The 13219-nt window shown below is 34.7% G+C and overlaps 2 annotated features.

The window, feature by feature from the left end:
- Nucleotides 6635-6804: an enhancer, noted in NCBI's record as "experimental_100536 CRE fragment used in MPRA reporter constructs". NCBI's record gives its function as "activates a minimal promoter by MPRAs in K562 erythroleukemia cells, with activity observed for the introgressed 7:84345772 variant allele {active_cell/tissue: K562}" and the evidence as "EXISTENCE:reporter gene assay evidence [ECO:0000049][PMID:34662402]".
- Nucleotides 8118-8300: a silencer, noted in NCBI's record as "fragment chr7:84344191-84344373 (GRCh37/hg19 assembly coordinates)". NCBI's record gives its function as "represses an EF-1alpha promoter that drives an FKBP-Casp9 reporter gene in an ReSE screen in HepG2 liver carcinoma cells {active_cell/tissue: HepG2}" and the evidence as "EXISTENCE:reporter gene assay evidence [ECO:0000049][PMID:32094911]".

Genomic DNA, 13219 nt, shown 5'->3' with positions numbered 1-13219 from the left:
GGCTGCCCGGATTCCTCAGAACTACCAGGAGGAGAGGCTAAGTCTGCTGGTCCACAGACTGTGGCCACCCCTTCCCTTAGGGCCTCAGGCCCAGGGAGATCCAAATTCTGTCCTTGAGCCTCTGGCTGGAGTTATTGGAGATGCTGCAGGGAAGCCCCTCCTCCACCACTGAGGAAGGATGGGTCGGGGTTAGGCCTGAAGAGGCACTCTGGCCACAGCTGGTGTGTTGGTCTGTGGGGACAAGTCTTGCAGCCTGGAGCTATAGAAATGGGTGCCACCCTTCTGCCGCCCAGGGAGCTTAGCATGTTATGCAGTTGTGAGTCCCAGTGCTGCCCCTCTCCACAGAAACTCAAACAGCTTAGGCTTAGACAGCAGGCAGCCACAGACGGTGCTGGTCACCCCTTCCCCAGGAGTTCAGTAGGCTTAAGCAGATACCAGCTGAGAGGATGTAAGAATCTGTGCATCTGGGGTTGGGATGCTAGGTCCTGGTGGCTTGGGTTTGCAAGTGGCATCTTCTCATCCATGGGTTGCATAGTTCCATGGAAAAAACAGTTTCCCTGGCTGGGTAGCCTGCTCACGCACTGCCTCCTTTGGCTGGGGGGAGGGGGTTCCCCTTCTCCCTGTGGCTCTCAGGAGGGCAACCACACCACACTGCTCTTCCTTCTCTCATTGGATCATGCCAGCCTTCTAGTCAATTTTGATGAGAGAATCTGGATACCTTGGTTACCGGTGAATGCTTATGTTTTTTTTTTTTCCAGTGGGAGCCTCTGAATGCCAAGAGTTCTAGTCAGCCATCTTGGCCCCACCCTGCTTTTTGGTTCTGAATCAAAGGAAGCAGATGCTTTTTACACAAGGTCCTGATTTTTGCATTATGGATCATTAGAATTGACGCTAACAGGAGTCATGTGTCTAATTCTTTGCATCAGTGTAAGCAAAAAATATGTTCAGCAATAGTAAATTATCTTAACCTCTCTCAGGAAATACGAATAGTTTCATAGTGAGAAAGTGGCAATGTGAGTCAAAAGCATAAAAATGCCAGCTGTAAATAAAGATGAAAAACTCTCATCCCCACTGGGATAAAATAACATTACCTTCCTGAGACCCTGACTAGGGACAGACCATTTCTTTGGAGATTTGTTTGGTACAGGAGTAGAAAGAAAATGAATTTAAATAATTTATCATAATATTACCCCAAATCACAACCTTGAACATAAAAGGAGAAAATCTACTTTCAAATCAATTTTGCATTGACAAGTGGGGACCTGGAACTCTGATAGGAAAAGTTATCTTTGGCAAAGATTTATATCTCTGAAGATAAATGCATCCTATATGTGATATTTTTATCATCTATATGGGTATTTGTTCTTAATTTTAGAGTTAAAAAGATCAGAAGTCTTTTGGAAAAATTGTTTTCAACTCAATACAAATGACCAATACCATAAAATGGAGTTATAGATTTCATTTGATTAATCCACCTACTATTACTTTTTAAGTGATGTTTAAAGAATTAACCTGCTTGATTATAGTATTTTCACATATCTAAACTAAAAACAGAATGGTACTTTTACTCCACAGTTATAATAAAGAAATTTGAAAACTTTACCTTACAATTAGTCATGTGTTTGAAGTAAAGATCAATAACACAAATTTGCTCCTAACTCTCTGAAAATGAAGGATTGAAAATAAAATAAATAAAATCAGGTCTACTGTTTTGATTATTTTTGCAGGGGACAAATTACAGTTTTTGCACTCAAGGAAACTCCAGATTTCCACTGGCTGTGAAAAGACCACTTTGGCATTACTGCTGTTTTCTTATCTGTCAAATGCATTTAATCACACTCACCTTGTTCTACTGTATGTTGTTTGGCTTTACAAATTAATGGCTCTAAAGTGCTTTGAAAATATAAATCTCTATATAAATAATAAAACATTATTATAGCCTTGGGAAAAGTCTGGGGAAAGGGGAACTAAAGAGTAATGACTTGTCTTCTAGGATTGTAAGAACTTCAAAAAGTAGTGTTTTACCTGGTAATTTCTTACTTTCATATGAAATCTTCTCAGGACATCCTAAAAATTAAAAGCAGTTATACTGAATAATTTAAGACTATACAAGCAGTTATAATAGAACCATTATGTTAAAAGACTATCCACTTCACCCTATAATATTGTTATTATAGAATTAAAGCAACAGGACCCCCTCCATTCTTTTTACAAGTTATATACTCATTCATGTATTATTTTGCAATGTGTGCATATTCTCAAACTAAGAAATACTTGATGACATGAGAATAAAACAGCTAAAATTATGATTTCTTGTCTCAAGAAGCTTTCAACCTCATCAGAGAGCTAAATGTGTACAACATTTTTAAAATAAATATTTGGATGTGCTAAATAATCTTAAGGATATTTTGAAGATATTATCTTAGAATTGTAAAAAAAATTGAGATTATTTCTGACACTGAAGTGATAAGGGCAGATGGATATGTAGGCAAGCTCTAGCTCTGGAATGTTTTTATTAATGATTCAGCACTAAATCTTAGACCTGAAGTAGATTAGACTTGGAAATGCAAAGACAACTTGGAAGGTATTTATGGCAAGAGGAGTAGCTTGAACAAAGAAGGTAAGCAGAAAAACACCAAACATATTTAGCAAGTTAATTGTTTTAGAAGTTTGGGATGTGTCAAACTAGGTAGTAGGTGATAAAGCTCTAAAGATAGATTGGCGCCAAGTTGTGTAGGCTCTTGAATGACAGGCTAAAATACGTGGGCTTTATTTAGTAGGAAATTGTAAACTGCTTCTTAAACTCAAATAAACATTTTTATAAGAGTTGTTTTAAATAGGAAAACAATAAGACATTTTATTCAAGATGGGGTTATAAATAATTCATTTAGAAACATCCTTCCTGCCTGTGGTTAGAAAAATAAATAATCTGACTGTCAGTTTGACATTAGACTTCTGATAACACATGATGTTGGTTGTTAAACTAAGGCTACATTAGTATGGAAAGTCAAGCAACTAAACTATTCTTAAATTTTAAAAGAAAATTATCTTTAAATGAATAGCAACTCTTATTAAGATAAGTCAGATTTGTGCATGAGTCTAAATTATTGACACAATAGGTATGGCTATGGAACTTAAATTTTAGAGTATTTCCTTAGATCATTTCTGGACTTGAGAAACATTTAAATTTATTCTCATTTAAGAGGTGATAGAATTTGAAAAGCAAGGTCTTCAGTCCCATGGTTTATTATCCTTCAACCAGTCATAGAAGCAACAACTTTCTCTTTGGGAAATTTCTGCTGAAGTGATTTTGAACTGAGTTGGAAAACACCTTCGAAATGATTTGGTCTAGACTTCTTTTTTGTCGATGAGAAAATAAAAAGTTAGAGAAAAAAAAAAGACCTTTCAAGATAACACAGAAAGACACCTGGCAATCAAACACAGACCTTTTTTCCTCAATTCAATGATTTTTCAATTCAAATACTATTTTAGGCAATATTTTGAAGTATCAGCTTTGTTTTGGGTTCAGCCAAATGCAATTATTTTCCTTTAATTTGATAGTCTTGCAAATGGGCTTTATTAATTATGTCAGTAAAGTTGGTTTTAAATATTAACAAGTGGTACTTTTGGGATTTCTGTTTTATACCCTCTCCCCTAAAATAAAGCAGCTATTACTTATGCAACTTTCCAGTATATATTCTAAAGGAATATTTTTCCTTATTAGCTTAACTTATGCATTATTTGTTTTCCTAATTATATAACAAATGAAACAATAGTTTTGCACATATTTTTGAATATATATTCAAATATATATATTTGAATTATATATATAAAATTTATAAATTGCTATGCCATATTTAGAATCTTTGCTTGACCAGCTGATTTAAATATTTTATTTGGATTAACATAGGTTCCAGAAAGGAAAGGCTAATGGGCAATAGTCTTTCATTGTTGATAGTTAGGATTTAAGTCTGGCTTAGGATTTCAGGAATCAGGAATATTTATATAATGATAGGGTGAAGTTGGTTATGAAACTTTTTTTCGATGATACGTGGTTCTGTAATGTATAGGAACTTATCTTACACAAATATCATCAGGTTTAACTTTCCTTACTGATTTTATTTTATTGTGATTGATTGTTTTTTATGGATTTTTCAATAATTCAAATTTTGTAATTATTTTCCTATGATGGCATCTTGTATCCTTGAAAATATGTAATTCTACTTGCTATACAATCATTCTACAGTGTTTTTTTCTGGAGTATTTTAACTATGTCACAATATTATGTATTTCAGTCCAGGCATATTGAATTGAAAGTCCAGAAATGCATTTTACTTTCTTAGCTCCACTACATAGAAGTTGACCATGACTGAACTATCATAATTATTGGTTACATAAATGCTGTATAAATATTTGGAAGGGGAGAGAGGTTATATATACAGAATATTTTATAGTGATGTTGCATTTATTTGTTTTTCTTCTTTTTCTCCTTGTTCTTTTCCTTGTAATTATTTTTTGTTGTAACTTATAATTCTTGTCTTTCTGAGTGAATATTGTATTAACATTACAGTAAAACAGTAAGACTACTGCCAGGATTAATCACATAATTTGCAGGGGCCATTTCAAAATGAAAATTCAAGTTGCCTAATTCAAGAATTGTTTAGAGTTTTAAAAATAACAACAGAGCATTTACACAAGCATATGGCCTTTTACACAAGTTTGGGCGCTGTATGACTGGACAGGTCACATGTTTATGAAGCCAGCCATTGCTATAGCTTGCAAAGGCAGACTTATATCAATGAAGAAGAAACACAATTTCTTGCTTCATCTTTTTTTTGAGACAGAGTCTCGCTCTGTCCCCCAGGCTAGAGTGCAGTGGCTCGATCTCGGCTCACTGCAAGCTCCAACTCCTGGGTTCAGGCCATTCTACTGCCTCAGCCTCCTGAGTAGCTGGGACTACAGGCGCCCGCCACCATGCCCAACTAATTTTTTTTGTATTTTTAGTAGAGACGGGGTTTCACCGTGTTAGCCAGGATGGTCTCGATCTCCTGTCCCTGTGATCTGCCCGACTTGGCCTTCCAAAGTGCTGGGATTACAGGCTCTTCTTTTTTTTTTTTTTTTTTCCCTGCGTTTCTGACAATTTCTTCATAAGGCAAATTTCACCACTGAATCATAATTTTAGGTCGACTCATTTCTAAACTTATGTACAGGAGCTAATGATCACGACAAAATCTTTAGCTACCATTTGTAATACTTTCCTGTTGATGCTCTTGTAAGTTACCATAAACTTAGTGGCTTAAAACAACAGAAATTTCTTTTCTTACTATTCCAGAATTCAGAAGTTTAAAATTGGTTTTACTAGGCCAAAATCAAGCTGTCAACAGACATGCATTCCTTCTGGAGGTTCTAGGGGAAAATCCGTTTCCTTTCCATTTTTGCTTCTAGAAGCTGGTTGCATTCATTGGCTTATGACCCCCTTCCCCATCTTCAAAGCCAGCAGAATAGCATTTTAAAATCTAAATCACATCCTCTGACTCCCTGCTTTCATCTTCCCTTCTCCTTCTCTAACTCTTTTAAGAACTCTTCAATTGCATTGGGCCACCTGGATAATGCAGGCTAATCTATCCATTTCGAGTTCCTTAATTTGGTCACATCTGCAAAGACTCTTCTTCAATGCAAGGTAACATAAGCACAAGTCCAAAAGATTAGGATGTGGACATCTTTGGGGAGCTACTACTGTCTACCACAGTATTTCTCGTACACATACTTTTTACTAATTATAGTAATTCTTCCCGGACAATGTTTTACATTCATCTCAAATTTTCCCGACTTAAACATTATCTAAAAAATAAATTTCCCTGGATTTAAAAAAAAAATCAGGTGCCAAGAGCTATAAAAAAATTAGTTTAAAATAGGAAAGACAATTATTTTCTTTAGGCAGGAGTTACTTTACCATCAAACACTATATATAACATGTTTGTAATAACTTTTATTTTTTATTTACCTAAGAAAGACCTAAAAATGCATGTTTATAAAGAATATATATTCTATCTGTATAATATGAACAATCTCCTTCTTCGCAGCACACACACATACATATATTTATAAGTTAATATTTTGTTACATTCTCAGACATTATCAAATTTTCTTTAACCACTTCCTTTATTCATAATTGCTTTGCTTTTATAGATTCATATTTTGTAATCCTATCATGAATTGTAAAATTCAGTACTTCTCACAAATAAAAGGTCAGTGAATATTTAAGAGACTTAGTCTCAGCTATGTGTATAGTGTTTATTGCATGCATTACCCAATAGTAAGAATTATAGAGAAAATAGAGTATACGTTAAAAGTTTCTGGGGAAAACTATGCAGATACTCAAGCAGCAGACATAAATTCAGTAAAACAAGATATGCATCAACTTATGAGCAGGGTGGTCTGCAGTTGGTGTTTATCTGGAAAGATGTCTTGGTAAACGTGTTCTGCAGAAAGTATTAGAGTTAGAGGGTTAGGCTGAGTGAATAAAGAAGGCAGTTCTCATAGTAGCTGAATGGTGTAGGTAAGAACTTCAGGGCATCAAGCAGAGGATTAATGGAGAAGAGGCAAACATGCCTATTTAGTGGAATGGAAAAAACCAGCTAATGTTGCAACAAAAGTAGAGGTTCTATTGTTAAGGGCAAATACCAGAAAAATCCATAATTCTGTTATTAAATAATTGGGTTTAATCTTCAAACTAATATAATGATTTAGTATATGTTTAGTGATTTTTCATATTCAAAGGATGAATCAACTAGGGAGATTTGAAAAGAGCATTGCATTATTGAACCCAATATGTAATTTGAGAGAAAAGTTCAAACCAAGTTGGGAGTGGGAGATTAGGCTGTTACCATGATGCCAGTGTAGCATAACCAGAGCTTGCATTTAATGGTGGAGGAAAGAGAAAGGGAGGTGATCCAGCTCACACACACACACACACACACACACACACACACACACATGCACCAGCTACATGAGTAAAATGTCATGTGTAGTGGTACACTGACATTCATATGACATATTGAAACATATTAGATGAAAGTAGTACTGCTAGGTAGCTTTCATTAAATGTTTATTTTATGCTAGGCACTGTCCTTGTAATGTAATAAACTTTCCAGTAATTTAATCCTCACTATTACAATTTGATATCATTTTTCACTTAGATATGAGAAAGCTATAATAGCATTTAAATGATTTTCTCAAGTGACCAATATATAGATACTAGGATTTAACTCCTGGTAACTCCCAAAACTATACTCTTTCTTATTTACTAAAGACCCTAGGATTTGGCCTAAAATACATTTCCTCTGTGTACTCAAATCTCATTTACTATTAGAATTGTTAAATATTAGGATCAAAGTATCACATATTTCATTTAATCCATAATTATATCCAATGTAGGAATTGCCACTCCAACCACCATACAAAATAGTCACAACTTTCACTTTTACACTTCAATAATGGAGATTTATAACCTCCAACTTCCATTTGTGTATGGTCTAAGTGGCTAGGAAGTTCTTTCTTATTTTGAACTGAATCTGAAGCCATATTATCTTCATTTTCTAGCCCATATTCTGCCCTCTGGAATCAGGCAACCCCCCCCCACCCGCCACACACACACTCACACAATTATATCACTCTTCTGTAGACAGCCCTTCTAAATATTTGAAAATAGCCATCACAAGTTCATTACAAGTGAAATACCCTCAGTTGTCTAAATCACCTAACAAGGCATTCATATTCTTCATCATCTTGGTGTAATTCTTTATACTGCTCAATGTACTATCGATATATTAGTGTTAATTCATTTGTCTCAGACTGTATGCCATTATTTTCCTTTATACTTCACTGGCTCCAGAAGATTTTTCTCTAAAACATTTTGTTAAACTTATCAGCTTTCTCTACAACAGCATCGATCAGCAAAACCACTGCCTTTTAGTCAATACCTTATACTTTCCACAATTAAAGCAGATACTCAACTTCTGATAAAATGAGACCTTAGTTCCAGCTGCAATGTGAACACCTGTGAGGCTGGGACTCTGGAAATCTGAGAGTCGTGCCCACACTTAATCATCATTTACACTTCTCATCTTTAGTGCTCAGCTGTGAAGGCCCAGCCAGTGACCTGTTGAAGGCTTTTCCAGTAAAACAGAGGAGACATAAACCAGGGCACATCAAATATGCTTAGCAAGAGCCGTCTCTCCAGCTGTCAGTGAGCCACGCCACACTGAAGATGCACAGTAGGAGGCTCTCCTATCGCTGACTTTTGACTAGTTAAGAGTGTTTGGTTAAACATTTTGAAAAGTGATAGGTGAATGGGGTCTTTAGTTGAAGTTATGGGTCAAATTCCAGGCTTGCAGTAGCACATAAGAGACAGAGAAAAATAAATTGCTGGGCTTTCAAGTCTCTAAAGACATAAAATACTTCATGGTAGGATTGAAGGCTAAGCTCTTTTTTATAAATCAACATAAGTAAAAATTATTGTTAAAAGAAAGTTAAAGCTACCAAAATTTATTGTCAGTAAAATACTGACAAAGAAAAATATAAAGAGATGGGTATCAAAGATAAAGTAGGATGTAAACCTGAGAGTAAAGGAAAACACCTTCCCTCTTACCTTATCTTAATGCCTTGAAACATGGTGCTTTATCTTAATACTGTCATCCTGTCCTTTTATTCATCATATGTATAAAGGTATCCAAAATAAAACAAAACACTTAAGAAAAAATGCTTTAAGTAGAAATATATTTATTTTATACTCACTTTTAGGAAAAAAATTGATAGGGGAGATTTGGCTATTATATACACATATTTCTTCTATATTTTTTATAGACACAATTTCTAGATTTTACTGGTACCTGTAAATGTAAAGTTAACATATATGTGGAAATATATGTTTACTTTTGTGTATGTATATCACCTATATTTATGGAAGGAAGTGATATTCACTTAATGTATTAATGACATAGTTTAGGTATTATTGAAGTATGAAAAAGATACCATCGTTAACTAAAGATTTATGCTTTCTTTTAGAAAGTTTAAAATGGTATTAAACATTGCTACATGAATCATTTATTCATGGATTAAGTAGATCTATTAATAAAAATGCCTTATAGGTTAATACAATTTACAGATGTAAATATTTTCACAAACTGAATCTCATTTGACCCTCTCAATGACATTTAACCTTCAGAAGGCTTGTAGTTATTATTTTCCCTAATTTAGAGTTGAAGATAAATGAATTTTATAATAGCTTAGATGATTAATAAGTGATGAAGTATCCAAATTCAGTTTTTCTGACTCACTAACCTGATATTTTGTCTAATGTATAATGCCACTTTTTGTTAAAAAGAGCATCATTTAAATATGTGATGTTCTGATACTTTGCAGTCAGCAAGTCTTCCATAAAATGTCACCTTAGGTTTGCAGTCAGTAAGGCTTGATGGATAAAACTGTTGTATCTTAAGAAGTAATTGACATCTTCCTAAGTATATAATAATAAATGTCCTATTATACTTCCTCTGACATTTTTGTGCAAATATATATATTGTTTAAATTTTAATTACTAATTAAAAATTATATATACATATTCACTGTGTACAACATGATGTTTTGAAATATGTATACATTGTAGAATGGCTAAATTGAGCTAATTAACATAGGTATTAGCTCATATAATTATCATATTTTACGATGAGATATTCAAATATATTTTCAGAATTCTGATAGTAAGGAACCAAAAGAGTAGAAAAGCAAGAGCTCATTCCGAAGAAATCTTTATTTTGAAACAAAATAACTTGCTTTTGTATTTTCACAAAAAAATATTTTGTCTTTATAGATTATTCACAGACTGGTAGGAAAAATAGCCCTACTTTTTTGGGGAGAGGCGGGGGCTAACTTTATGACTCAAGTGAAACCATTCAGAAACTATAACACGGTCCATATGCTTGGCTTTTTGAAGTCTGCTTAGTACTCCATTAGGGATTCTCAATTTGTACCTCTCAATCTGATTTCGATAAGATGCAGGTTCCCTTCAGCGAGGTGACCTGGTGCAAACACGCAATGGATTAATTCCATAATAAATTATGGGGGCAATAAAGCTTTCTAGACCAGTTTGCCTCTTAAGTAACAATCTTTTATGTCGCCTTATAAAACTGAACTTATGTTTTATTTGTAAGTCATTCTGGGCATAATAAACTGTTTGAATTTTGGGCACTTAGTTTTAGGGTGGAGCACATACTTTCCTGGTGCATTGTTTTATGATGGCTCTGGAGCTACTTATTAGTCAAAGCACCTGAAAGTTCCTTGAGGATACTAACATTTAGTCAAAATAACATCACACCTAAAGGTGCATGGAAATATGGACTTCATATAATTCTGAACTCCAGCTGTTTTTCATCTATTTCTGTTTCTATTTATTTTATATATAGAGAAAGCCCAACATTTGCCATCCAGTGTTGCATGAGATCACTTTGCTTCAGTTTTGTATGAAGTTATATTGCATAGAATATGCACTTATGCTTTTTATAAGATTGATTTTAGGGTGGGTAAGCTCCTTCAGGCAAATAAACAAAAATGTGAATTATTTCATCATATTCTGATGAACACTCCGGGTGGCAAACTGCCCAGAATACTAATTCTTGCTCTTCTTGTGAAAATTGTTTATTTGTTGTACTTCTTAATACCCTTTTTGTACCACTGCATATTGTTACCTTAATCACCAAAGGGTCTTTTATTTTGCTCAGTTTTGAATTTTCTGTGGCCAAATGTACCATGGATAGTAATCTCTGTTCTAGAAATTTATAAAAGCAAACCAATGAGAAAATTTAGTTCCTCTCCTATCTTCCCTATGTGGGTGGATTATTTTAAAAGAAATCTGGGTATATTGTGCTTAAATATCTTTTTTAATTTCCCAAATTAGTGGATCTGTTTCCCATATATTGAATCAGTAAATTTAGACATAATTTGGAAATTATTATAGAAAAGGTTAAATGCATTTAACACCTATGAACTCATGGCAGAAATAGCCTATTCATAGTGAATGAACCAACTTTATTCACAGATGAAGTGTGGAAAAAGAAAAAAGAAAGAAAGAGATTCACAGGCAGGCACGTTCAAATTCACGTCTACCACTCTAGACTTAGCTTCTCTTCTATCTGGGAAATGGAGAGTCAGTTAAAAACATCATCTTCTTTCCACATAGCATCTTTCATTGAAAATATTCAGTATAAAATGGCAGTTCTGTCCTCAAGGAATGAGCAGACTACTTTCTTTTGTGTGTTCTATCTCTCCAGCTTCATATAGTGTTTGTGAAGATGAAATAAAATTGTAAATCAAAATGCTTCAAAATTTATAATGCAATAGATAAATGGAAAGAATAAAGATATCGAGATGATATTAATTCAGGTCAACTTAATTCATTTAATTCAGATTCTTATTATTCACTGAATATATTACATTGCTATAGTTTCTGATAATGACCATAAGCAGAGACAAGTACATCACCTTACATCACAACCAAGGACAAGGGGGGATGCTAGGCCTGATCAAAGAAATAGCACTAATTAAGCATGTTCCATAGGCAGTAAGCTTTTTATGGGCCAAACCGTGTGGCTTTTAGGCTTTCACATTGGCTTCTCAGTGGTATAGTCTTTGTAAACTACCAGACTATGCACTAGTTTCCTAGGACTGCCATAACAAATTATTAATACAACAAACTGGGTAGCTTTAAACAATAGAAATTGATTTTCTCGCACTCCTGGAGGCTAGGTGTCTGCAATCAAAGTGTTGGTGGAGTCTTCTTCCCTCCAAAGGCTTTAAGAAAGAATGCTACCATGTCTCATTTAGTGTCTGGTGGTTGGCAGCAATTCTTGATGTCCCTTGGCTTGTGGCAGCTTAACTCCAATTTCTGCCTCTGGTCCTGACATAGCTATCTTACCCCTGTACGTCTGATTTGCCTGTGTCCAAAGTACCCTCTTTTTTTTTTTTTTTTCCTCTCTCTCCTTTTTTCCTTTATTCTCTTGTTCTTCTCTGTTCTTTTTTTTTTTTTTTTTTAATTATACTTTAAGTTTTAGGGTACATGTGCACATTGTGCAGGTTAGTTACATATGTATACATGTGCCGTGCTGGTGTGCTGCACCCACTAACTCGTCATCTAGCATTAGGTATATCTCCCAATGCTATCCCTCCCCCCTCCCCCCTCCCCACCACAGTCCCCAGAGTGTGATATTCCCCTTCCTGTGTCCATGTGATCTCATTGTTCAATTCCCACCTATGAGTGAGAATATGCGGTGTTTGGTTTTTTGTTCCTGCGATAGTTTACTGAGAATGATGGTTTCCAATTTCATCCATGTCCCTACAAAGGACATGAACTCATCATTTTTTATGGCTGTATAGTATTCCATGATGTATATGTGCCACATTTTCTTAATCCAGTCTATCATTGTTGGACATTTGGGTTGGTTCCAAGTCTTTGCTATTGTGCTATTCACAATAGTAAAGTACCCTCTTTTAAAGACAGCAGTCGTTGGACTTAGAGCCCAGACTGAGCCAGTATGATCTCATCTTACTTTGGTTACCTCTACAAAGATCCCATTTCCAAATAAGGTCACATTCATCGGTTCTGGTGTTTAGAACTTCAACATGTCTTTTTTTGGGTAACACAATTCAATGCACAAAGAAATTATAAAATTCAAAATTTGTATGTGTTTTTAGATGGGAAGCATCAATGTAGGCGATTTGAAGCCTGCTCTTAGAATTTAGGCCTTCCTTTAAGGAAAAAAAAAAAAAATCCTTCAAACAGTTTAGCCAGACATATTAGGTTTTCATCTGGGATTCATGATCCAGAGTAATAAAGATAATTCATGTGTAAGTCTTTGTCCTATGTATATCAGTTTTAATAGAAACATTATAAAATGACAAATACCCAGTTCATAATGGAACCAGGAGTAATCCTGTGTCCTGGCTGTCTGTGTTACAATTTTTTTCTTATTCTTCAAACTTGGTAAACCTCCAAATAGGGTATTGGAAGACAGACCAAACCAAAAAGTGATCTCCATTATTTTTATATTTCACGGGTTTTTAAAAATCATTTATTTATTTATTTTTAATAGAAATGAGGGTCTCATGATGTTGCCCAGGCTGGTCTGGAACTTTAGGGCTCGAGTGATTCTCCCGCTTCAGGCTC

The sequence above is a fragment of the Homo sapiens genome, chromosome 7, assembly GCF_000001405.40.
Source record: "Homo sapiens chromosome 7, GRCh38.p14 Primary Assembly".
Classification (NCBI taxonomy): domain Eukaryota; kingdom Metazoa; phylum Chordata; class Mammalia; order Primates; family Hominidae; genus Homo; species Homo sapiens.
This window is presented reverse-complemented; position numbering and strand designations above follow the sequence as displayed.